This window comes from Homo sapiens, chromosome 1, assembly GCF_000001405.40.
Source record: "Homo sapiens chromosome 1, GRCh38.p14 Primary Assembly".
NCBI classification, from domain to species: Eukaryota; Metazoa; Chordata; class Mammalia; order Primates; family Hominidae; genus Homo; species Homo sapiens.
Genome location: NC_000001.11, coordinates 196,906,563 through 196,934,515, shown reverse-complemented (window position 1 = coordinate 196,934,515; position 27,953 = coordinate 196,906,563). Strand labels below are relative to the sequence as shown.

The following is a 27,953-nucleotide window of genomic DNA, read 5'->3' as shown; positions in this document are numbered from 1 at the left end:
TAATCCATAGCTTCCTCTGTTGCTAAGAGCTCCAGCATTCTCCAGCTGTACTCCATAAAGTCCTTCCTATACATCCCATCCTTTACTTGCGTTTACAAACCTGGAGCTAGACACAGAGTGCTGATTGGTGTATTTACAATCCCTTAGCTAGACATAAAGGTTCGCCAAGTCCCCACCAGATTAGCCACATACAGGGTGCTGATTTGTGCGTACACAAACCTGGAGCCAGACACAGAGGGCTGCTTGGTGCATTTACAAACCTTGAGCTAGACACACAGTGCTGATTGGTGTATCTACAATCCCTTAGCCAGACATAAAGATTCGCCAAGTCCCCACTAGACTCAGGAGCCCAGCTGCCTTGACCTAGTGGATCCCACACCTGGCTGCAGGGGGAGCTGCCTGCCAGTCCTGTGCCCTGCACCTGCACTCCTCAGCCCTTGGGCGGTTAATGGGAACGGGCACTGCGGAGCAGGGGGCCGCTCTCGCCAGGGAGGCTCTGGCTGCACAGGAGCCCACGGCAGTGGGGTGGCTCAGGCATGGCTGGCTGCAGGTCCCAAGCCCTGCCCCACAGGGAGGCAGCTGAGGCCCCACGAGAATTCAAGCTCCACGCTGGCCTGCCGGCACTGCTGGGGGACCCAGAAAACCCTCTGCAGCTGCTGGACCGGGTGCTAAGCCCCTCACTGCCTGGGCCGGCTGCGCGGGCCGGCCATTCCAAGTGCGGGCCCGCAGATACCACACCCACCCGGAAGTCCTCCTGGCCCACAAGCTCCGCGGCGCAGCCCGGGTTCCCGCCCACGTCTCTCCTTCCGGGGCTCTCACTCCATACCTCCCCACAAGCTGAGGGAGCCGGCTCCGGCCTCAGCCAGCCCAGAAAGGGGCTCCCACAGTGCAGCGGGCTGAAGGGCTCCTCAATAGCGACCAGAGTGGGCACCAAGGCCGAGGAGGCACCAAAAGCGAGTGAGGGCTGCGAGGGCTGCGAGGGCTGCCAGCACATTGTCGCCTCTCAGTAGGGTCTTTGAGAGACAAGGTATTTCACTGTAACAGACATCAGACTAAAAGGTAAGAGAGAAAATTATTTTTTTGCTGTAAGACTCTCTAGAAGCAAAGTTATGTTTGATTTTTCCCTTTAAATAGTATATTTGTTAGATCTCTTATTTAGGCAATTATGTCACCTTCTTTTTATCTATCACTTATTTTAACCCAAACTTTCCTCTCCAAAAAGAAATATCAGGTTTGACCATGGAGTTAACCTATTCACTGGAAATAAGAATCTTGCTAAGGCTTCTTTCTTGGTTTATTTTCATTCACATGGGATAGGATTAGAAATGTACAAACTTACTGGCCTGTTACCTCTACTTGGTAACAAAACATTTCCACCTGAAGGCCCGGTTAGGCCAGGTGAGAGGACGGGACATTCTAGCTTCTGTGGTCTCTGTTGCAACTACTCTGTTGGCCCTGATAGTGTAAAAACAGCCATGGGGAATATGTAAACTAGTGAACATGGTTGTGTTCCAATAAAACTTTATGGACACAAATATGTAAATTTCATATAAATTTTATGAATATTTTAATTATCAAATGATTTTTCTTACTTTAATTTTAAAAAGATATCAAAATGTAAAAACCATTGTAGTCAGAGCCCTACAAAAATAGGCAGCAGGCCACAGTTCCCCATGACTGTCATTTGCCAGTCCTTCATCTGGCCCACCAATCCCTTCTGAATTCATTTAAATTAAAAACTATAGACAGTAACTCCTGTTTAAATATGAGTGATGCTTCAAGAACTGTTCATTTTAAACTGGACTCAGAAATTATGGGTAAAGGCAGAAAAGAAGAAAATTGTGATGTGTTTGAAAAGATTTGTAGATAAGTGCTGGTTTCATCCCCAAATCGTTCTTACCTCTACCACTCTATCTAGGAAATTTATCTAATAGTAAATCATCTTTGCTTTCTCCCATGTTTAACTTTTTATTTTAATTTTATGTTTTACTTTTATTTTAGATTCGGGAGCACATGTGCAGGTTTTCTACATAGGTAAATGGCATGTCAGAGGGGTTTGGTGTGCAAATTATTTTGTCACTTAGGTAATAAGCATAGTAGTCAAAGGTGGCTTGTTAAATCTTCACTCTCCTCCCATCCTCCACCCTCAAGTATCTGTTGTTCTCTTCTTTGTATCCATATGTATTCAGTGTTTAGCTTTCACTTATAAGTGACAACATACGGTATTTGGTTTTCTGTTCCTGTGTTAGTTTGCTTAGTTAATGGCCTCCAGCTCCATCTCTGTTCCTGCAAAGGACATTATCTCACTATATTTTATGGCTGCACAGTATTCCATGGTAAATGTGTACCACATTTTAAAAATCCAATCTACCATTGATGGACATTTAGATTCAATCTTCAAGCCAAGCAAAAATGAGTTCCAAAATTGAATCAGTAATTAAAAGCCTACAAACCAGCAAAAGCCCGGGACCAGACGGATTCACAGGCAAATTCTACCAGATATGAAAGGAAGAGCTGGTATCATTCCTACTGAAACTATTCCAAAAAATTGAGGAGGAGGTACTCCTTCCTAAATCATTCTATGAGGCCAACATCACCCTAATGCCAAAACCTGGCAGAGACACAGCTGAAAAGGAAAACTTCTGGTCAATATCCTTGATGAACATAGATGCAAAAATAGTCAACAAAATCTGATCAAACTGAATCTGGCAGCATATCAAAACGCTAATACACCACAATCAAGTAGGCTTTATTCCTGTGGTGCAAGGTTGGCTCAACAAACATGAATCAATAAATGTTATTCATCACAGAAACCAGAACTAAAAACAAAACCACATGATTATCTCATGTTTAATTTTAATGCACAACTTGAAAACAAGTAAACCAGCTCTTTCATCCTTTATTACTGACCTATCTGCCCCAGTCTTTTTTTTTTTGGCAGGTATTTCAATTAATGACTTCAAATATTTCCACTACTCTGCAGAAGATAAAGGATATGATATATATATTCGATGTGGTGTTTATTTGCCCATTGTTGTATATCACGTGCTGTAAAATAGCTTCCTTGATCAGAAGAATATAACTTGGTGGGCAAAAACAATTCAGATTATTTAATTTTCATACGTTAGATTTAACTTCCATGAAAAAAACCAAGTCTCAAATACGTTTTAGTGGCCTTCAAAGCTTGCTTAAATCTTCCTGGTGTTAAGAATGAACATCAAATATAATCTATTTACTAGCTGTATGCTGGGCCATCACCCCAGTGGATATGTCCTAATGAATTTTTAAATCTTACCTATCTTGCTAAGAAACTGGACCATTATGGTAAACAATTTATACCTTTTCTGGTGCTTCTGTTGGTTTAGGTCCTTCTGTGACCATTCCTTTCATGTATATAAGTAGTTACTTCTAGGTAATGAACCAAAATACCTATTTGTTGACTCCAGTCGCTTTCCAATCCTGGTAGAGTTTTTATTTTGGTGGGCATCAGCTTGTCCCAGTTTGATTTGTCTTTTTAATTCCCATAAAGGTAGTATCTCAGGCAACAAGTACTCGCATCAACTATTTTTGCATTAATTAATCACTGGTCATGAATTGGTATCAACCCATGTGATCTGGCCTTTTATGTCCTCAATGTCTTCCATAATAGCTGAGAAAACACATTAAAGTTTACCCTATTGAATTCCTTTAGTCTTATATTTTCCCATGAGGATCTGCCACAACTTTCCAGGTAGAGTAGTAACCATTCATTTATGAACTGCCATCAGAAAGACAGGATAATCATCTAGCCTCTGGCAGCAGGTGTTCTAATGGAGAATCCCTTTAAACTCTTCCTTCAGTAGCCTAAGACAGAGCTTCAGCAGTCTCTAGAGTGAGTCCCAGAAAAAGAGGAGGTATTTACTCATGAATATGACCAAGGCCATTGCTGTACCTTCTTGTAGAATTTTCCTTCATATAAAATTTCCATTTAATAATGGAACTCTTTTGGGTATTCTCTTTTTTTTTGGTGTGTTTTTCAGATAAAACCCTGACACTTTGGACATTTCAAAAGTTAAAATAATTGTATACCCTTCAATTATTGGAACCATTTCAATCAATGCCCTATACTATGCCAAATGACAGGTAATTTGTTTCTTCTTTTTTTCTTCATTGTTCTTGCTAGAAATATATCATTTATTCTTCTCAAAGAACTAACTTTGATTGGTTTTATTCATTCTTTGAGAAGATTAAGAAAACAGTTTTTTCTATATTGCACTTGCTTCATTGATTTATACACTAATATTCATGATTTCCTACCTTCTTAAGTTGGAACTTAGGTTAGTGTTTTGAGATATTTCTTCTTTTCTAATATACCATTTAATGACATCTCACAATTCTATGGGGCATAGAATTTTGGTGGGGTTCAAATGGATAAATCTTTTATTTTCTGTGTATTAATGGAGACATTCATTGTTATTCATCTGGTTAATATTCTGCGGTGGAGGGTTCAATATGTCTTCAGTCACATATTTGGTGCTTTGCCAGCAACAAGTGAAATTTGGGGTTCAGGTGACTCCTGTCACTCTCAGGGCCTCTCTACAGGGTACCCAGAATTCTCTCATGCTGATTAGAAGCTACAAGACACCAAGGCAGAAGCTGCTATTTTTTTAAAGCTTACATCCGTAACTGGCATAGAGATACTTATACCGTATCCTATTGGTCAGAAAAGTCATGGGTTAGCACAAGTTCAAGATGATGGGGAAATAGGTCACTTAATCAGAGGATTTTCAAATTATTTGTGGACATCTTTAATCTGCAAAACATAGTAACTATGATACATTACATGCTAATATTTTAATTTATCTCCACTCTGAGGTACGTATGTGTCATAAAAATGATTGCATTTAAGAATGTACTCCATTATGATTACTTACCTAGTTCATCTTTATTGATGTCATCAAATGTAACCAAGTCTTAACTATTTTAGAAATCATATTTAAATTTGTTTTCAAAGTTTATTTGTATCTAATGAAAGAGTAATATTTTATTTCTCTACCTAGGTAGCGCTCACCCATGTTTTTGACAGTTTTCTGCCTGTTTCTTTAAGAAAAGTTTTAAAAACAAGTCTGTGATATTTTCTGTAGTTTCATAGAAGACTGATAATTTGACCCTTGTTAAAATTCTTGCAAGAGAATCTTTAGGTGTACACCAGATTGAAGATAAATAAGAATCTGAGTTAAGTGCTCAAATCACATTTTTTAGGTTGTTCATCTAAAATAAGTATAATAAATAACTGGATTTCATAAGATGCAGCTGAGGGAGCTCATCAACTAATAAAGGAAAGGAGATGGAAGAACTTCAGAGGTCACAGACACTCATTGAGTCATCTCCCTTAAACATATGAATTCAAGGTGAAGATTAGGATAATCAGACACTACACATAAGAGTCACAATTCTCACTATGCTGTTGACATTAATGCTGTGTTAAATAATTTTCAACAGTTAACATAATGATAGGTAAAAATGTGAATTGCTAGTTCTGAAAGCAAGATCACTGCTGTTAGCTTAGCAGTGTAGGAGTGGCAGAGTGGTATCAGAAGTGGACACTGAGCTTCTTTCCTTCTTCATGATATGGCAAAGGCACCATGAAATTTAAGGAGGATAGGATGAAGGGTCTGACAAACGTTTATTGCCAGGGTGTTACCAATCCACTCTTTGTCTGAAGGGAAAATCCTCAGAGGAAGATTATCTGGAATGAATCGTAGGAGTGTAGTTTGGAGTATATGACTTTGACTCAAGAGTTTGTAATATATATATATATATATATATATATATATATATGTATGTATTTAGAATATGATACAAAATGATGGAGAAATTACTAGAAATACATTTTCTTGGTTGCTGCTAGCAAGTTTGGTGATATTAAAACATCTCATGGTGGAAAGTAAAGCAAATGAACAATCAACCGCAGCAATATTGAGATAAATATCTGAACCAAATATAATTGGCTTCATGTGTGACAAAGGTTTTGATGGAGACTTGGGGAGATACAGGTTAAATCATGGCACTCCTTCACTCTGACCCTTCATCAACAGATCCTACCTTCCAAGCGCCAGGATTTAAAGACCAGATGACCATCAATACTAGAGAAATAACATTAAATATGTGGTCTGTTTTGCAAAACAGAAAAGTATTGGTGCCTGCCAGATTAATCTTTCCACAGATTCCTTGAAATAAATGGTTTGTAATTTGGTAGTGAATTCAATTACCGGCTTATAGTCAGACTTTGGAAAAGGGCTCTCTTCACCTGGTCTTAGTGGTTCTTGTTAAATGGGAATTTTATAATTGGTCAAACCAGCCTCTCTAGTGAATATTAAGTAATACCAAATCTTGGGAAGATAGTGAGAGATTTTAATTGCTTAAAAATGTTAAGTGGTATGACGATGTATTAGTGTTTTCCAGAGAAACAGAATGTATAGTGTGAGGTGTATATAGATAGATGAGATAGAGAGAGATTTGTTTTATGCAATTGGTTTACTTGATTTGTGAGTATAAGCAAGTCCAAAATTCACAGGGCAGGTTAATAGAGTAGAAACTCAGACAAGGGTTGATGTTACAGTCTTGAGGTAGAATTTCTTCTTTGGGAAGCCGAAGTTTTGACTCTTATTGCTTCAATTGATTGAATGTGACCCACCCATATTATCAAGGGTAATCTTTACTTAAAGGCAACTTATTGTAGATGTTATTAACTCCATCTATAAAATACCTTGTTCACAGCAACACTTAGATTAATATTTGATTAAATAACTTGGATTGACAGCCTAGCTAAGCTGACACATAAAACTCACCATTGCAGATGCTAATTCTCACCAAAACACAAATGATTTTGATTAATTATGTGGATATGCATAGTTGCAAGAAGGCTAACATGAACTCCCAGGCTGTGACTGTTAGGAGTTGGCATTTCAAGATACCTGGGGTTAACACTTAGATATAATTTTTCTTCAGTTACCAAGAATATACTAGATAGTACCAAATAGCTGGAAGCAGAATATTCAGTGTTCCCAACAGAAAGAGAAATGATAAATGTTTGAGATAATGGAGATGCTAATTACTCTGACTACTATACATTATATATATATGTGTGTATATATATGTATATATATGTGTGTGTATATAGATGTGTGTATATATATGTGTGTATATATATATACACTCACACACACACACACACACATTACTATGCACCCCATAAATATGTATGGTTATTATTTGTGAATTTTTAAAGGGGGATTAAAAGACACTTCCTTGTTCATTACTGAGCTTTGATGAAGATAGCCCTCACCATTGTGGATAATAACTCTAAAACTCAAAATGCCTGTTATTTCATAGGTAATATCAGACAAACATTCCAATTAGCATGGAACAGTTTAGAAAAACTAATAATATGGAAATGACACATGCAGCAGCCCTCCACTGGTGGTTGCTCTTGGTGTATGTTACATTCATAAGCAGTTTGCAGCCAGCATTTTTGACCAATGATATAATCCACAAAAGAACTTCTGGCTCCTTTTTTGAAATGATCTAAACTCTGTGATTCTTTTCCTCCTTGTGCAAAGCAATCTGCCCATTTTTCTGATAGCACGTCCCAATTTGAGTGAAGCAATCACCTTGTAGATAATAAAATCTAGATTACAAGGCAAGATTCGTGGTAAATAACATTGAAGGCAATATGTCTGGAAGTTCTGAAAGAATTGAGAGGTTATATCAAAGGCAATGCTTAGATATGTACAGACACATGGATTATGGCAAATGCTATCAATGGTCAGATCGTACATATTTCCAACCCCGTAAACTGTTTCTGTTTTGCCAGATCCATTTTTACCAATTTAGAATTACAGCTGTAGATTTTACCACAAGAAGTCATTGCAGCTGAAAACATTACTTCAAGTCCTCTGAATTTAAGTGTACATTACTAAAGGGACAATGGGCTGAGGAATGATTATTTCTCTCACTAAACTAAGACTGCCTAGATGCTGCCCCCTGACTAGTGGTAGAGATACGCCTGCCATGTTTTATATTTGTGACTGTACTTTTTCTTATTGGGAATGTTCATAGAGGGAAGTTCTGGAAAGGCTATTGATGCAAGGGGCTATTGCTGCACTCTATGGGTGGGTATTATAGCTCACCTATGGACTTCCATCCACAGATGCTAAGCTTGGTTAAGGTAGATAGTAAACAGAAAATGGCAAAAAGTGTGACCAATGATGAGGGAATGCATGTATGTGAGAGAACATCCCAGAGAAACAGAATAATACTCTAGGCTCCTTCTTTCTGATATGGTACTGAGGTATGGCAGATGCTGGGGGAATATATGGAGCCAGTATTACCCTGATGCCAAAATTAGACAAAGACACACCCCAGAAAGAGAGAAAGTTACAGGTTAAAATCTCTAATAAATATCGATACAAAAATCCTCAACAAAATACTAGCAAACTGAATACAGCAATACATTAGAAAGATCATTCATCATGACCAAATGGGGTTTACCTGTGGGATGCAAGGATGGTGCAATATACACAAGTCAATCAATGTGATACATCATATTAACAGAATGAAGGATAAAAACCATACGATCATTTCAGTTGATGCTGAAAAAGTATTCGATAAAATTCAATATCCTTCATGATGAAAACCCTCAAATACTGGGGATGGAAGGAACACACCTCAAAGTAACAAAAGCTGTATTCAACAGATACACAGTTAGTATCATACTGAATGGAGAAAAACTGAAATCCTTTCCTCAAAGGACTGGAACATGACAAGGATGCCCACTGTTACATAGTTATTCAACATAATACAGGAAGTCCTAGCTACAGCAATCAGACAAGAGAAGGATACAAAGGCCATCCAAGTTGGGAAGGAAGAAACCAAGTTATCCTTGTTTGCAGATGATATGATCTTATATTCGGAAAAACCTAAAGACTCAACCAGAAAACTATTAGAACTGATAAATTTGATAAATTTGCTGGGTATGAAATAAACATACAGAAATCAGTAGCATTTCTATACATCAACAGTGAACAATGTGAAAAAGAAATCAAGAAAGTAGTCCCATTTACAGTAGCCTCACATAAAGTTAAATACCTAGGAATTAAATAAAGAAGTTAAAGAGCTCTTTAATGAAAACTATAAAAGCCTGATGAAAGAAATTGAAAAGGATACAAAAAGATGGAAAGATATTTTATGTTTATGGATTGGAAGAATCAACATTGTTAAAATGTCCATACTACCTAAAGCAATCTACAGATTCAGTGCAATCACTGTCAAAATACCAATAACATTCTTTACAGACATAGGAAAAAACAATTCTAAAATTTATATGGAACCACAAAAGACCCAGAATAGCCAAAGCTATCCTAAGCAATAAGAACAAAACTAGGGAATCATATTACCTGACTTCAAATTATACTACACAACTATAGTAATCAAAACAGCATAATAGTGGCATAAAAACAGACACATAGACCAATGGAACAGAATAGAGAACACAGAAGTAAATCCACACACCTACAGTGAACTCATTTCTGACAAGAGTGCCAAGAATGTACACTGGGGAAAAGACTGTCTTTCAATAAATGGTGCTGGGAAAACAGGATGTTCATATGCAGAAGAATGTAACTAGACCCTTATGTCTCACCATATAAAAAAAAATCAAAGTGGATTACAGACTTAAATCTAAGACCTCAAACTATGAAACTACTATAAGAAAACATTGCAGAGAATCTCCAGGATATAGGTCTGTTCAAAAATTTTGGGGGCAATATCCCATAAGCACAGGAAACCTAAACACAAATGAACCAATGGGATTACATAAAGTTAAAAATCTTCTTCTGCACAGTAAAAGAAACAACAAAGAGAAGCGACAACCCACAGAACGGGAGAAAATATTTGTGAAGTACCCATCTGACAGGACATGAATAAACCGCAATATATAAGGAGCTCAAACAACTCTATAGGAAAGATTCTAATAATCCAATTAAAAACGTGCAAAAGATTTGAATAGACATTTCTTAAAGAAAGACATGTAAATGGCAAACAAGCATATGAGAAGGTACTCAACATCATTGATTATCAGAGAAATGCAAATCAAAACTACAATGTGATGTCATCTAACTCCAATTAATATGGCTTATATCCAAAAATCAGTAATAAATGCTTGGGAGGATGTGGAGAAAAAGGAACACTTGCACACTGTTGGTGGACACGCAAGTTAGCATAACCACTATGGAGAACAGTTTGGAGGTTCCTCAGAAAACTAAACATTGAGCTACCATATGATCCAGCAATCCCACTGCAGGGCATATACCCAAAAGAAAGGAAATCAGTATATGGAAGAGACATCTGCATCCCTATGTTTGTTGCTGCACTGTTTACAATAGCTAAGGTTTGTAAGCAGCCTAAGTGTCCATCAACAGATGAATGGATCAAGAAAATGTGGTACGTATATACAATGGAGTAGTATTCTGCCATAAAAAAGAATGAGATCTAGTTATTTATAACAACATGGATGGAACTGGAGATCATTATGTTAAGTGAAATAAGCCAGGCACAGAAAGACAAACATCACATTTTCTCACTTATTTGTGGGATCTACAAATAAGAACAATTGAACTCATGGACATAGACAGTAGATGAATGGTTACCAGACGCAAGGGGCTAGTGGTGGGAGGCAGTGGTTGGGGGTGTCAGGGAGGAGGTGGGTACCTATTTTCAATAGGTACAAATAAATAATTAGAAGAATGAATAAGACCTACTAATTGATAGCACAATAAGGCGACTATAGTCAACAATAATTTAATAGTATACCTTCAATATAACTTAAATAGTGTAATTGGGTTGTTTGTAACTCAAAGGATAAATGCTTGAGGGGATGGATACCCTATTCTCCACGATGTGCTTATCTCACGTTGCATGCCTGTATCAAAATATCTCATACACCCCATAAATATATATACCTACTGTGTACCCACAAAATGAAAAATAAATAAATAAATAAAATAACTGTAAAGTAGAAGAAACCTCAAAGTGATAAAATCAAAATGTCTTGTTTTTCCTGCCAATCTCCCCGCTATATTTTCTTCCCTTATTGTTAACAACATACTGTCTACATACTTTTGTATTCTGAATTTTGTGTTTGCATTGTATCTTCAAAGAAGTTATAATTAACTTCATATCAAGCAATAGTATTTTCAAATTCAAAATGTGCTTTCTATCTAGATAAAAGGCTTGGCATATAATGATTCTTAATGGGTGTGTTAAAACAGTTTATTTCTAGGCACAAATTAATGAACTAATAAATAGGGGGGTTGTTTTATTTTCGTTTTGAGACAGGGACTGGCTCTGTGGCTGGGTTGGAGTGCAGTGTCACAATTGTCCCACCTCATCCTCCTCTAGTAGCTGGGACTACAGGCGTGCACCACCATGCCCAGCTAATTCGTTTTCTTTGTTTTTATAAACAGGATCTTGCTATGATTCCCAGGCTGATCACAAACTCCTGACCTCAAGCAACCCTTTCACCTCAGCATCCCAAAGTGCTGGGATTACAGGATGATCCACTATGTCTGGCCCATAAATAGGTATTTTGCTTGATAAATATCACACCAGTATATTTACATTTTAATATAACAACCATTCTGTTTTCCCTAAGATTTCATTTTCAGTCATTTTTATTTTCCTGCCTAAAGATTTGTAATATTTGTTCATTAGTCTTATAATTAAGAAACAATTGGCTAGATTATGTTTCTAGTGATTTTATCTAGTGATTTATTCTAGAGATTTTATCTCTCACTTTGCCTGGAACCACATTAAGCTATACACTAGGAATAATTGTTTAGAAAGGAATGTAAGAATATTTTGATGATTGTACTTATTGCAATTGTTCTGGTTTCTTCCCTAGACTTAGATTTTTATTGTTTATTCTCCAGATTAATAATCTCTATAATCATTCATTTCTTTATGGTTTCCCTTTGAAAATCCACTACACCAAATTTCTTATCTATCACACCAATTCACTTTGTTAGGTGCATACTCTACTCTTTAATAACCCCACTGATGCTTTTATATCACATTTTATTTTCATCTTCCTGATGATATTGCTTGTTGCTCCTACAGTTGTGGTTTCCTGCCATTTATTTTTGTACCATTTTAGGAAACTAAGGCAATCATATTAGTCTGTTCTCATGCTGCTAATAAAGACATACCTGAGACTAGGTAATTTATTAAAACAAGAGGTTTAATTGACTCACAGTTCCACACTGCTGGGGAGGCCTCACAATCATGGTGGAAGGTAAATGAGGAGCAAAGTCACATCTTACATGGTGACATGCAAGAGGGCTTGTTCAGGGGAACTCCCATTTATAAAACCATCAGATCTTGTGAGACTTACTCACTACCATGAGAACAATATGGGGAAATAGTCCCCATGATTCAATTATCTCCACATGGCCCTGCCCTTAACATGTAGTAAGATTTGAGCAGAGACACAGAGTCAAACTATATCATTCCACCCTGGTCCCTCCCAAATCTCATGTCCTCACATTTCAGAACCAATAATACCTTCCCAAAAGCCTCTCAAAGTCTTAACTCATTACAGCATTAACTCAAAAGTCCACAGTCCCAAGTCTCATCTGAGACAAGGCAAGTCCCTTTGTAAAATCAAAAGCAAATTAGTTATTTCCTAGATACAATGGTACAGACAATGGTGCAGACAATGGGTAAGTAAACCTGTTCCAAATGGGAGAAATTGGCCAAAACAAAGGGGCTACAGGTCTCATGCAAGTACAAAATCCAGCAGGGCAGTCAAATCTTAAAGCTCAAAAATGATCTCATTTGACTCCATGTCTCACATCCAGGTCACGCTGATGCAACAGGTGGGTTCCCATGGTCTTAGGCAACTCCACCCCTGTGGCTTTGCAGGGTACAGCTTCCCTCCTGACTGCTTCCATGGGATGGCATTGAGTGTCTGCATCTTTTCCAGGTGCACGATGCTAACTGTCGGTGGAACTACCATTCTGGGGTCTGGAGTACAGTGGGCCTCTTCTCACAGCTCCACTAAGCAGTGCCCCAGTGGGGACTCTGTGTGGGGGCTCCCACCCCACATTTTCCTTCTGCACTGCCATAGCAGAGGTTCTCCATGAGGGCCCCACCCCTGCAGCAAACATTTGCTGGACATCCAGGCATTTCCATACATCCTTTGAAATCTAAGCAGAGGTTCCCAAACCTTAATTCTTGACTTCTGTGAACCAAAATCTCAACATCACATGGAAGCTACCAAGGCTTGGGGCTTGCACCATCCAAAGCAATGGTCTGAGCTCTATGTTGGCCCCTTTTAGCCCCTGCTGGGATGCAGGGCACCAACTCCTGAAACTGCAAAAAGCAGCATGGTCCTGGGCCCTGCTCACAAAACCATTTTTTTCTCCTAGGCCTCTGGGCCTGTGATGGGAGGGGTTGTCCTGAAGACCTCTGACATGCCCTGGAGACCTCTGACATGCCCTGGAGACATTTTCCCCATTGTCTTGGTGATTAACATTTGGTTTCTCATTACTTGTGCAAATTTCTGCAGCCAGCTTAAATTGCTCCCCAGAAAATGGGTTTTTCTTTTCTATCAAATCATCAGGCTGCAAATTTTCTGAACTTTTATGCTCTGCTTCCCTTTTAACATAATTTCCAATTCCAAACCATATATTTGTGAATATATAAAATTGAATGCTTTTAACAGCACCCAAGTCATCTCTTGAACGCTTTGCTGCTTAGAAATTTTTTCCACCAGATGCCTTGAATCATCTCTTTCAAGTTCAAAGTTCCACATCTCTAGGGCAGTGGCAAAATGCCACCAGTCTTTGAGCTATAACATAGCAACAATCACCTTTGCTCCTGTTCCCAACAAGTTTCTCATCTCTAGCTGAGACCACCTCAGCCTAGATTGTATTTTCCAAATCACTATCAGCATTTTGGTCAAAGCCATTTAACAAGTCTCTAAGAAGTTCCAAACTTCCTCACATCTTCCTGCCTTCTTCTGAGTCCTCCAAACTGTTCCAACCTCTGTCTGTTTCCCAGTTCCAAAGTCACTGCTACATTTTTGGTTATCTTTACAGCAGCACCCCACTCTACTGTGTAATACCAATTTACTGTATTAGTTGATTCTCACACTGCTAATAAAAACATACTTGAGACTAGGTAATTTATAAAGGAAAGAGGTTTAATGGACTCACAGTTCCACGTTGCTGGGAAGGCCTCACCATCATGACAGAAGGTGAATGAGTAGCAAAGGTACATCTTACATGGTGGCAGGCAAGAGAACTTGTCCAGGGGAACTCTCATTTATAAAACCATTAGATCTCATGAGACGTATTTACTACCATGAGTAGGGTATGGGGGAAACTGCTTGCATGATTCCATTATCTCCACCTGGCCCCACCTTTGATGCATGGGGATTATATAATTCAAGGTGAGAATTGGGTGGGGACACAGCCAAACCATATCAGCAATTATTTTTGAAATTTTATTTATGATATATGTTGATGAAGTAGAATTAGTCACTGGAATTAATAAAACAATTTTTTACTTTTTATTCTCCAGTCTCTGCAAACCTGTTATTTGAAAACTGAGTTAGATTTGATAGCTTATATCATTCTTCAGTCTTAAAAAGTTATTCCTAGCTTTAGTCACAAAAACATTCTCAGTCTAGCAATTAATATTTCTTATTCTGTACAGGACTAGATTATTATACAAGTTCATGCTTTTTTCTCTATAATCAGGAAAAGTGTTGGGAAAGGGAGCATTGTTTTCTTCTTACCCTGCAATTTCTCACTAACCATATGCTAACTGGGGCTAAAAATCTATTAAAGTGAATAGAGATTTCAATTTGTTAACAGGGATATACAATCTTTTCAAAAAATTCTTATATACAAAAAAAAGTACAGAACAGAAAGAGAGTGAAGGCAATTAACAGGAGAAAAGACAAAAAAAAATCGGAAGCAAAACTTAATAAGAAATGCAAAAACCATATGTGAAGAAACTTTCAAAATATTTGTATTAAGAAAATACAAATGTAGCCTTAAATAAATCAGAAAAAGAATTATTTCCTTAAATAGGAATTTTCAGAATCCTATTTATTTATTTTTAAGACAGAGTCTCACTCTATTGCCCAGGCTGGAGTGCAGTGGCACTATCTCGGCTCAGTTCAACCTCTGCCCCACTGGTTAAAGTGATTCTCCCACCTCAGCCTCCTGAGTAGCTTGGGACTATGGGTGCACGCCATGATGCCCAGCTAGTTTTTCTATTTTTAGTAGAGACAGGGTTTCACCATGTTGGCCAGGCTGGTCTCGAACTTTTGACCTCAGATGATTCCCAGCTTGGCCTCTCAAAGTGCTGGGATTACAGGCGTGTGCCACTGCACCTGGCTTCAGCATCCTAAAGTGTCAGCATTGCCCAAGTTAATATATACATTTAATGCACTTCTGGCTGTGTTCCCAGTGCTCTGAAAGGGTTAGCAAAACCTCTTTTCTTTTTTCACAGGAAAATGATGATAATTCACCTTCTTTAGTACTTTTTCCTTTAAATCATGATAATGATGTAATGTCAGTGTTTGGCAGGAAACACTACTTTTAATAAAAATGACCCTATTTGGTTAACTGCATCTAGAGGACCATGGCTGCAATAAGGGAATACTATAGTGTGTTTATTTTCACTTACAATTTTAACATCTAATTTTATGTTATTATTACTTCCCCAAATAAAGTCTAAAGTCATTTTGTTTCTATGTCTAGGTATACTGTACAATATGCAGAAAGCCATTCAGTTATCTGTTTCTATACTTACTAATTCATTGATAGGAAGTCCAATATAAGGGTAGTTTTTATTATTTTAGTACAAGCATAAGCAATAATTTAGTTTGTTTTAACATATTTTTGAGAACATATTAAGTTGCAAATTGAAACTATTATATTAATTTTCTTTGAAATAAAGTAGAAATTACAACAATATCAGAAGCTATCTTTGCAAGCTTTGAGACCATAAGAGTGAGAAGTGGAAGTTGGACATACATTTAGGGTAACAATGCTGCCTTATTCGCATCTGGGGTATTCCACTATGCCTTCCCTACACACTGCTTGAAATGATAGAACTGATGTATTCGCATTATATCCCAATTTACACATAAATTCAATGGTATCCCCTGTTTTTGCATAATATTTTATGTCACTTTTTCCTTTTAACTGTATGTTATTTTTATTCATGTTTTCTTCAGTTATTATACATGGATCTGAAAGCAGAAAAAGAAACAATTAACAATCATAATCTTGCCTTTCATGAGCAAATAAAATGCATCCTAATGAGTAGTTTAGGATAAAATAAAATTATAAAATAATCCAAATAGTTAATAGTTATTAATTTGTGCTACATACTGACTTTAGCATTTCAAAAATATAATAAGTTCAGTTGCACTTCCCCAACGTCACAGCAGAGATCATCAGGTGAGGTGATAAACGTGAACCCTGGCAGTCTTTCTCTAGAGCCTGAACTCTTCTTCCCTAAAACATGTTGTGTCCACCCTAGTGACTTCATATCAAAAAGGATTATGCTAACATGTTCCACTGGAGTCATGGTTACTTATCCTCCTTTCCCCCATTTGACAAGCCGTGACTACAAGCACTCCAAATGTACTCACATTTTGCTAATTTAATTCTATGTTTATATTTTTCTCTTATGCCCACAGTGTAGAAAAAGAACTGTAGAAAGGTATAATCTTTCTAATAGTCATCTATTAAAATAAAACTCTCTATATATACATACATACATACATACATACATACACCTCAATATCTGTCAATTATCTCTCTCTCTATCACCATCATCTATCCCTGTCATCTTCATTTTCTATTTTAAAGAGGCAAGGATAAGCACACAGGAGTTAATGTGAATCCCTACATGATTATGGACAAATTACTCTATCTCACTATGCCTTCATCTGTAAAATCAGTAAGATAATGTTACTTCCACATATGGGTTTTCTTTTATAAAATTCTTTTGTAAAAAAATTTATAATTTTTTTTTAAGTTCCAGGGTACATGTGCAGGATGTGCAGGTTTGTTCCATAGGTAAATGTGTGCCATGGTGGTTTGCTGTACCTATCAACCCATACCCTAGGTATTAAGCCTAATTCTTACATGATAAAAATGTCAGTTCTTACATAGCAAGCTTTTCATTTTTGATGATATCATTCACTCACCTATCTCTTCTTTTGACTCAAGTATTCTGCATTCTAGTTTAGCCCTTATTAGCATTAGCATTTCTTTAGAAATTTCCCCAATCATATTTTAATACATCTTTCAAGTACTTACTTAAATAAATTTCTTAACATAGTACATATCACTTTTGAGATCCAAAAAATTTTAAGAGCTCTTCAATACATTCAGAGGCTGTTTACAATTCAAAAATAAATATTATTTGAACTCTAAATACTTCTCCAAACATATTTTCCAAAACTTTCTAAAGTTTCCTGCTGCCTGGGAAAGTTTTCCTCATTGCTTTAATATGCCATATGTATATGTAATCTTTTCCATAAGGTTGCCTTTTTCCCTAGAATTCTGTGCTTGAATGCTCTTTGCTTCTTTAGTTTTGAAGACTGAAAGTCTTGCTTGTATCATGGAACTGATCTTGTATCTTCAGATAATTATAATCCTTTCCTGTTCTTGATTGTGAGAAGAGGTAATGCTTTTGCTGTGAAACCCATCTTAGGAGTGTCCATCTCCCCATTCAATCAAATTTGAGACTCAGAATTTATCTCTGAAACCTAACACTTTTCTATGAAATCAAGTTTGAAGATACTTGTAAACTATTTTGATTTGAGGATACTAATTTCTTCTTCAGTCTTGCCACTTGCATAGTTTGGAGCTCAAACTTGGACATGATCATCTACAGAAGTGGATACCTAAGTAGGGGACAATAATTAAGGTTTAGCCCATTGTAAGATCAGCCAAAATATCAGCGTCATCAGTCAATATGAAAGGTAAAAGGTAGCATAGCATCAAAATAAAGGAAATGAGTCACATCACAGAAAAGAACGGCTTGTATCATCCTTTACTTAGGAACTTGAGCACTTGAAAAACTCATGAACTTATAGTTTAAGAGCTGTGATAGGAATAGGTTATCTGACATGCAAGGACTGATGGGTATCCCAGGGCTCTACCTCATAGGCTAGTAGAAACTTGTGGCAAGTTTTCTTTTAGGTTTTCTTGTTGTTGCCATAATTATTGTGGCTTATATTTTTTTGAATTGTGTTGCTTCAAGTTCATAGTACTTGGGGGACAAAATTCTAGAAGTATACCTATATTACTGGCTTGAGGGGTTTTTAGTGTATTCATTTTGATTATGGTATAAGGGAAGAGGAGAATAAGGTAAAAATGGAAAAGCAATGGGTTGTGGAAATGGCTGAAGTTTCGTTAATTTCTTTGTTGCTTGCTAGGAATACTGATAAAATATAAGTAAGAATAATAATCAGAGAAAGAACTTCTCAGTGTTAACCAGCTATGTATTCTATCCGGAAAAATTTCATGTTTTCAAGGAGGATTTAATAGTTCGTGGTTTTTTGAAACAGTGTTTTCATAACTGTTTGAAAACTCTACCTCAGTGTTAATAATGTGAAAATGATTACTGGTGTTAAGCTGAGATGCCATATTTCATATGTGCGCAATAAATGGATGTCATTCTTGAAGACTCATTGTATCCATTAACAAATTGAAGACTCTGAACATTCTTGGTTTTTTCTTTTTCTCTTTTTCTTTTCTTCTTCTTCTGTTTTATTTATTTATTTTTTATTTTTTATTTTTTTATTTTTGGAGACGGAGTCTCCCTCTGTCGCCCAGGCTGGAGGGCAATGGTGCAATCTCCGCTCACTGCAACCTCTGCCTCCCGGGTTCAGATGATTCTCCTGCCTCACCCTCCTGAGTAGCTAGGATTACAGGCATATGCCAGCATGCCTGGCTAATTTTTGTATTTTTTGTAGAGACAGGGTTCACCATGTTGGTCAGGCTGATCTCGAACTCCTGACCTCGTGATCTGCCTGCCTCGGCCTTCCAAAGTGCTGGGACTACAGGCGTGAGCCACCACCCCAGGCCGACATTCCTGTTTTAAAAAAGAAACTTGGTCATTGTTTACATGGAATTTTCCAAGCTTATACACTTATATATTAAGATCTGAAAGGCAAACATTCAGCAGAATAGCTGTTTGTGAACACAGTTCTAGGGTAATAACCCATAAAAATTCTAGTATAAAAAAGCAAATATCAAACTTATTACTCTGATTTTCTCAGGATCTAGAATTTTAAGAACTTACGTATGCATCTTGGTGGTTCCGACCACTCTCCATTACTACATGTTACATAATTAGAACCCTGAAGTTCATAGTAGGACTGGCATTGGTACTCGACTCTTGACTGTGGCACATACACTTTTAGTAGAAAGGAGGTGGTATCACCATTGCTAATAGGTGGAGGAGGCCCACACTTTTCTGAAGAATCTGAAAAAAAATACTTTATATGTGGGGAAAAATCAATAGTCTTATTGGAAACTTTCTAAATAAAGCTTTTTATATACTCTTAACTGTATCTTATTTGATTTCTTAGGAAGACATCTGCATTTTCAACGTTGTTTTTTTTTTTTTTAAGTCTCAAGATAATTCACACTCATAGGAGGACTACATATATATGTACATATATGTACACACATATGTGTACATATACATATGTAGGTGTCTATTATTTTATTTAATTCTAATAAAAAATACTTGAATAAAATACTTACTATAACATGTTGGGAAATGGGACCACCCATCTTCACCACACACTATGGAACCTGTGGTGTTTCCATAACTGATTTCATATCCATCGTAGCATTCGTAGTCCAATGTGTCATGGAGCTTAAACCGCATGCCATTACTCTTGGCTCTGGAATTCTCAAAAACAGGCATATCACAAAATTCTGAAACAAAATAAAATTGAGGATTGCTTTTCTATGCCATACGATGCACAACTCAACTAAGAAAGTCCCATTGTAGGGATAAAATTTACCAATCAGTGTGTGCTAATAAATTGAGTACTATTAAAAATAGTCTGACAATCAGTGCTTTTTGTGCTATAATAGTTAATTACAATAGTTAAATATATTTCTCTCTGTATATTCTTTCTTATCATTCAAATCCTGTGAAAATATATTAGAAACATTTGGTCAGACCTATTTTTATTTGTGAAAAATCTCATTGGCTGTTATTAAAGTCTACTACTATGATACTACAATCTATTATTTTAAAGATGATAAAATTTTGTGAATTTAAAAGTTAACGAAACCATTTATGTAGTTATGTAACGATTTACTAACAGTAAGGGTGTATATATTAGATAAAAATTATATTAATTGGATATAAGTTCTATAAAAATTTATGAAGCATCCTGTCTTTTATTTTACAAGTTTTAAAGTAGATCATTTATCAAAGCTGAGTAAAATTGAAGTATACACCTTTTTCTTTACACAGAGCCCATGATAAGCATAGAAATTGAAAACAGTATTCTAGAAATGTAGGAATTGATATAGCCCCCAAAACTCATGGTAACATTGAGATAATCACTTTGTAAATGTGTCTTTCTTTTTTCTCACTTAGCCTAGTATTTTTGAGAGTCATCCATGTTGTATTATGTATCAAGGTTCCATATTATCTCATGGCTAAAAATAGTTGAATTGTACCCTTGATAATGAAGTGGATTTGGGAGTATGTAAATTATACAACAGTATCTGGGTTAAAAATACATTAGGCAATTTATCTTTAAAAATCTTTGTGAATATATAAAGAGGAAAGAAAAAAAATCAACTTTTGCCACTGAAAGATTTCCTTTGTTCATTATGCAATCTCTTTATCATAATAAGTAAAGGTCGAGCATGTTCAGAGAACTTTACATGTAAAGAATCCATTGGCAGGTAGGAGGTTTGTAAACATTCAGCCCACCCACCTACCCTTTTCCTTTACTTGTTTTCTCTGTAGTAAACAATAGGGTAGAGATAATTTTTTGATTGGATATCCTCAGTAGCATCATTGATACAAATTATTACGGTCTGATTCTCCTGATGCTAGCAGAAATTCAGAATTAAGCACTCATTTCTCCCCCGACATGTACAACTTTTCTGAGTGTGAGCAAGGAATGCAATACAAGCAGTTGATAATTTTGAAATACAAAGAAAGGGAAAACAACGAAGTTTTTAATGGCAACTAACACATTTTGCTGTTATTCTCATGCAGCTCCCTAACTAGTCTGTACATGATAAGATTGCTTTTATGTAAAGGCAGATTGAGTTGTAAGAGATGAAATGATCATCTTCCCAAGTAGCCATTACTCTAAACATGCAAAAGACTTAATTTGGCACAGAATGTTGAATGGTTTTAGAAGTATTTGTATCTCTTTACTCCTAAAAGTGTTTTCTATATTTTTAAGTAAAACACTATCATCTCAAAGAGAGGAACGAAGTTGACAGAAACTGAATGGGAATATGTAAATCACTTACTAATGCAAATTGGTTGTGCTGACCATCCATTTTGCAAACATGTAATTGAACCTGAAGAATTTCCATCTGCTGTTGCATATCCTGGTTTACATTTATATTGTATTTCTTTATTTAAAATATAAATAGAGGAAGATTCAGAAATGAATCCATTTTCAATTTCTATATCTGATTTTGAGCATGTTCCTAAAATAGAAAAAGTAGAGAAAAAAGTAAATATTTGTTGAATACTTCTTTTATAGGAGGGAACAAGTAAAAACATGGCAATATGGCAAAACAATGAAACATTTGTTAATGAATTGAAAACAGCAAAACTGGAAGTTTCCTAGACATCCGTGTTCTTAAAGGAAACCACGAATTTCTGAAGGAAATGTTGAAGACACAGGGAAGGGCAGAATAAAAGCAAAGAATCCTTGAGACTGTCAACAGAGCTCTGGCGGGCCTTAAGGAATGCACATCTAGCAGACTCTCAAGTCCCTAATGATATTTTGGAAGACTTTCTGGCTACTTTGCAACAACCTGAGTATTTTTGGTACTATTAAGGGGTCTTAAACCTCCTTAAGTCAAATGCCATTTCCCAGGCAAAGATACGGTACACACTGCTACCATAGGCAAGAAAGTAATTTTGTAAATCCGTTGTCTCCAAGAATTTAAAGTGGTCGTCATCTTAAGTGGGTGCTTAAACCCATATAGACGTGGTGTTTGAGAGGCATGTGGAAATGTAAGCAGAAAAAAGAAAGCAAATAAGATAGCAAAAATAAGTTCTAATATATTAGCAATGTATTTGTTCTTTATATATTAGTAATGTATGTGTTCTATACATTACTAATGGGTATATGTATAAGGTAGTAATTATTTTAGTAATGTATATGTTTTAAGATATTAGTAATGTATATGTTCTTTTCTAATTAGTAATTAGAAAACAAATGTAAATGGACTAATTTTACTATCTGAAAGAAAAATCATGTTAAAGATGATGCATATTTATAATATAGCATTTGTCATAATCATGAGTTTTCTGATCTATTCTTGCCTACTTTCCTATTAATCTCCTCCAGCCTCTAAACTACAGTGTTCAGTTTCTATTGTAAACAGTTTTATTTTCAATACCTATAAAGTGCTTGACACACAACAATATTTATTAGGTGGATTAATGATAGAGTTGGTGCCTATGGCAGGAGAAAAAGGGACTTTTCTTTCAGTGGCTTAGGCCTATTGTTGAGGACAGTTGCTCTTACAAAGGGGTAAGAAGATTCCCATTGTCTTTCATCTCAATTATATCATAATATTCATATGGTTTCTATAATGGAATGTTTGGTAAATTGCAAGCAATACACACAAACAACTTTCAGAGACCCCTTTACCTAAAAAGTGAAAGTCAGCTATAACTGAAGATCAGCCTTAATTTAAAGCAACAGAGCATTAACTATAAAAATAGATATGACATAGTTGTGAGAGATGTAGCAGTGACCTTTGGGCAAGCATTATATTTATTTTTAAATTAATGCTATAATTTTATAATCTACTTAAATCAATGCATTTAGCATGATTTCAATATAAATACTGAAGCAATGTTACTTTAATCCGTAGTCTATTTATTTTGTGCTATTCATGATTTATATTTCTATTGTTACTTGACTACTAAGTGACAGAATCCACTCATTATCCAGAAATTATAAATGTATTCAGACACATTTGGAACTGAAAGCTAGCTAGGCTTCTATTTAAAAATAAAAAAGACATATATTCAGCTTGAGAGTTGATATACAAAATTTTCCAGTTAAAGGTGTAGATCTTAGACAGTTAAGGACATACTGGGGTCTCAAACAAGTGGACTAACTGACACGAATGCATCTGGGAGGAGGAGACCATTCATCCTCTGTACATGGAACTGTGGTCTGCACATTTGAAAGACTGTAGCCAGGATATCCTCAACTTTTACAGATTGACTCTGTAAAGATATTCCTTCATATTTTGTGTTATATCCATTCTCCAAATAACTGAGAATACATTGTCCTAAAGACCATAAAATGATTAAAAGGTAGATTAGGAACATGAATTTGATCAAAATAGTATATTAAAATAATTTTTTGAATATTTAAATAAGACTGCATCAGTACACAAAAATGACGTATCACTGAAGGAAAACTAAAGCTACTACTAAATGTTTGTACAAAAAGGTCAGTATTCAATGTTACTTATCTTTAGTTTTTATGATAAAATATGTTTAAATTATATAGGTATTCTCATAAGGTTCCTATATTTATTTCTCATGTGATTTTCATGAAGGTCTCATAACAGAAAAGATCTAGTTTGGTGTTTTTGCATGAACAACTCTTCCTTTGGTACCATCTCTGTCATATAAGACAATGTAATCATTTGTTTGCTCTTCTCTCTCCATTCTTTGCAAGTTTTATGCACATATTGTTGTAAAGAGGTTTGCTTACTGAGGCATGGGACTGTTGGCAACCACCCATCTTGTGTGCAGTGAATGTAATCCCAGTAACTTCCTGAAGGAGTCACAAAATTTTGGTCACAGTAATAGGAGTAAGATTGTCCTGTAGCTACTGGAAAGTATGGTCTACGCGTATTCTCATAATATAGATGTCCATGTTGAATTTCTGGAAACTCACAAGGTTTCATTGCTTGTAACAAAAAACAAAAATAGTATAAATAATGTTTCACTGTAACAGACAATGATATAAGAGATGACTGTTTTGATTATGTTACCTTCCAAATAATGTTTTTTTTTTTCTTTACTTTTTTTTTTTTTTTAGATGAAATTTCGCTCTGTCTCCCAGGCTGGAGTGCAGTGGTGCGATCACTGCTCACTGTGACCTCCGTCTCCCAGGTTCAAGTGATTCTCCTGCCTCAGTCTCCTGAGTGGCCGGCACTATGGGCACACACCACCACGCCCATCTAATTTTTGTAATTTTAGTAGACACAGAGTTTTACCATATTGGTCAGGCTGGTCTCGAACTCCTGACCTCAGGTGATCGACCTGCTTTGGCTTCCCAAAGTCCTGGGATTACAGGTGTGAGCCACCGCGCCTGGCTGGTTTTCTTTTAGATTTTTTTTTAAATTTTATAATTATTTTTTAAGTTCCCTGGATACATGTGTAGGATGTGAAGGTTTGTTACATAGGTAAATGTGTGCCATGGTGGTTAGCTCCACCTATCAACCCATACGCTAGGTATTAAGCCCAGTTCTTCCATGGTAAACTTTTCATTTTTGATGATATCATTCACTCCTCTTCTCTCCTTTTGATGCAAGTATTCTGCACTCAAGTCTAGCCCTTATTAACATTAGTATTTCTTTAGAAATTTCCCCAAATCATATTTTAATCCATCTTTCAAGCACTTAAATAAATTTCTTAACATAGTACATATCACTTTTGAAATCCAAAAATTTTTAAGATCTCTTCAATACATTCAGGGGCTGTTTACAATTCAAAAATAAATATTATTTGAGCACTACATACTTCTCCAAACATATTTTTCAAAAGTTTCTAAAGTTTTCTGCTGTTCTGGAATGTTTTCCTTATTACTTTAATATGCCATATGTATATGTAATATTTTTCATAAGGTTGCCTTTTTCCCTAGAATTCCCTGCTTGAATGCTCTTTGCTTCTTTAGATTTTAAGACTGAAAGTCTTGCTTGTATCATGGAACTGATCTTATGTCCTCAGATAATTATAATCCTTTCCTGTTCTTGATTATGAGAAGAGGTAATGATTTTGCTGTGAAATCCATCTTAGGAGTGTCCATCTCCTCAGTCAATCAAATTTAAGACTCAGAATTTATCTCTGAAACCTAATACTAAATTTTTCCTATGAAATCATGTTCAAAGATACTTGTAAACTATTTTGATTTGAGGATACGAATTTTCCTCTGCAGTCTTGCCACTTGCATGGTTTGGAGCCCGGACTTACACATGATCATCTACAGAAGTGGATACATAAATAGGGACAATAATTAAGGTTTAGCCCATCATAGGATCAGCCAAAATATCAGCATCATCAGTCAATATAAAAGGTAAAAGGTAGCATAGCATCAAAATAAAAGAAATGAGTCATATCACAGAAAAGAACTGCTTGTATCATCCTGTACTTAGGAACTTGAGCATTTGGAAAACTCGTGAGTTTACAGTTTAAGAGCTGTGACAGGAATAAGTTATCTGATATGCAAGGCCTGATGGGTATCTCAGTTCTCTACCTCATAGGCTAGTAGAAATTTGTGGCAAATTTTCTTTTAGGTTTTCTTTTTGCTGCCATAATTATTTTGGCTCATATTTTTTGAATTGTGTTTCTTCAAGTTCATAGGATTTGTGGGACAAAATTCTAAGAGTATACCTGTATTACAGACTTGAGGGCTTTTTAGTGTATTCATTTTCATTCTGGGACGAGGGGAGAGGAGATGAAGGTGAAAACAGAAAGCATTGGCATTTGGAAATGGCTGAGCTTTCTGTTAATTTCTTTCTTTCTTGCTAGAAATACTGGTAAAGTGTAAGAAAAAAACAATAATCAGAGAAAGAACTTCTCAGTGTTAACTAGCTATGTGCTCTATCAGGAAGCATTTCAGGTTTTCAAGTAGGATTTTAGTTAATAGTGCATGGTTTTTATTATACTTTAAGTTCGGGGTACATGTGCAGGACATGCAGTTTTTTTACATAGGAATACATGTGCCATGGTGGTTTGCTGCACCCATCAACCCATCACCTACATTAGGTGTTTCTCTTAATGCTATCCCTCCCCTAGCTCCCCATCCTGTGACAGACCCTGGTGTGTGATGTTCCCCTCCCTGAGTCCACCTGTTCTCCTTGTTCAGTTCCCACATCTGAGTGAGAACATGTGGTGCTAGGTTTTCTGTTCTTGTGATAGTTTGCTGAGAAGGATGGTTTCCAGCTTCCTCCATGTCACTTTTGACATGGACATGAACGTATCCATTTTTATGGCTGCATAGTATTCCATGGTGTACATGTGCCACATTTTCTTTATCTAGTCTGTCATTTGGGTCTGGACATTTGGGTTGGTTCCACATCCATGGTTTTTAAAACAGTGTTTTCAAAACTCTTTGAAAACTGTTTACCTAAGTATTAATAATGTGAAAATGGTTATTGATGTTAAGGTGAGATGCTGTATTTCATATGTGTGCAATAAATGGATATCATTCTTGAAGACTCATTGTGTCCATTAACAAATTGAGGTCTCTGAACATTCCTGTTTTTAAAAGGAAACTTTGTCATTGTTTACATAAAATTTTCCAAGCTTATACACTTATATATTAAGATCTGAAAGGCAAATATTCAGCAGAATAGCTGTTTGTGAACACAGTTCTAGGGTAATAACCCATAAAAATTTTAGTATAAATAAACAAGGATCAAAGTTATTACTCTAATTTTCTCAGATCCAGAATATTAAGAACTTACATATGCATCTTGGTGGTTCTGACCAGTCTCCATTACTACATGTTACATATTTAGAACCCTGAAGTTCATAGTAGGACTGGCACTGGTACTCGACTCTTGACCATGGCAGATACACTTTTTGCGGGAAGGACGTGGTATCTCCATTGCTAATAGGTGGAGGAGGCCCACAGTTTTCTGAAGAATCTGAAAAAAAATACTTTACATTGGGGAAAAATCAACAGTTTTATTGGAAACTTTCTGAATAAAGCTTTTTATATACTCTTAAATGTATCTTATTTGATTTCTTAGGAAGACATTTGTATTTTCAACCTTTTTTTTTAAGTTTCAAGGTAATTCACACTCAAATGAGGACTACATGTATATGTACACATATGTATTCATACACATATGTGTACATATACATATGTATGTTTCTATTTGTTTAATTCTAGTAAAAAGAAATACTTGAATAAAATACTTACTATAGCATGTTGGCAAATGGGACCAGCCATCTTCACCACACACTATGGAATCTGTGGTGTTTCCATAACTGCTTTCATATCCATCATAGCATTCATAGTCCAATGTGTCATGGAGCTTAAACCACATGCCATTACTCTTGGCTCTGGAATTCTCAAAAACAGGCATATCACAAAATTCTGAAACAAAATAAAATTGAGGATTGCTTTTCTATGCCATATGATGTACAACTCGACTAAGAAAGTCCCATTGTAGGAATAAAATTTACCAATCAGTGTGTGCTAATAAATTGAGTACTATTAAAAATAGTCCGACAATCAGTGTTTTTTTTGTGCTATAACAGTTAATTACAAGAGAAAAATACATTTCCCTATAATGATCCTTCTCATTATTCAAACCCTATGAAAAACATATTAAGACTATTTAGTCAGATCTATTTTTATTTGTGAACACCTCATTGACTGTTATTACAGTCTA

The 27,953-nt window shown here is 36.1% G+C and overlaps 1 protein-coding gene and 1 long non-coding RNA gene across 10 annotated transcripts in view, besides 1 other annotated feature; one reads left to right on the top strand and one right to left on the bottom strand.

Annotated features, from left to right (window-relative positions):
- Nucleotides 334-833: an enhancer, noted in NCBI's record as "H3K27ac-H3K4me1 hESC enhancer chr1:196902813-196903312 (GRCh37/hg19 assembly coordinates)". NCBI's record gives its function as "activates a minimal SCP1, AML or CMV promoter by ChIP-STARR-seq in naive H9 embryonic stem cells {active_cell/tissue: H9 hESC(naive)}" and the evidence as "EXISTENCE:reporter gene assay evidence [ECO:0000049][PMID:30033119]".
- On the top strand, nucleotides 803-26,766 carry LOC105371675 (uncharacterized). The gene is made up of 3 exons (XR_007066779.1): nucleotides 803-1,059; nucleotides 11,505-11,621; nucleotides 21,833-26,766. It is a non-coding gene; the product is annotated as an uncharacterized LOC105371675 (long non-coding RNA).
- The window catches only part of CFHR4 (complement factor H related 4), a 30,582-nt gene continuing 18,511 nt past the window's right edge, over nucleotides 15,883-27,953 (bottom strand). For 3 of the 9 annotated variants that reach the window (NM_001201550.3, NM_001201551.2, XM_047440639.1), the window contains exons 4-10: nucleotides 27,479-27,655; nucleotides 27,018-27,200; nucleotides 24,038-24,235; nucleotides 21,594-21,776; nucleotides 19,845-20,021; nucleotides 19,378-19,560; nucleotides 15,883-16,306 (exon numbers count right to left, since the gene is read on the bottom strand). In NM_001201550.3, coding sequence (NP_001188479.1) covers nucleotides 16,110-16,306; nucleotides 19,378-19,560; nucleotides 19,845-20,021; nucleotides 21,594-21,776; nucleotides 24,038-24,235; nucleotides 27,018-27,200; nucleotides 27,479-27,655 — 1,298 coding nt within the window. In that variant the 3' untranslated portion in view covers nucleotides 15,883-16,109. Of the gene's footprint in view, nucleotides 17,975-19,377; nucleotides 19,574-19,844; nucleotides 20,022-21,593; nucleotides 21,777-24,037; nucleotides 24,236-27,017; nucleotides 27,214-27,478; nucleotides 27,656-27,953 lie in introns of those variants that run through there. The other 6 variants (XM_047440683.1, XM_017000111.2, XM_047440640.1 and 3 more) reach the window with 6 other exon arrangements.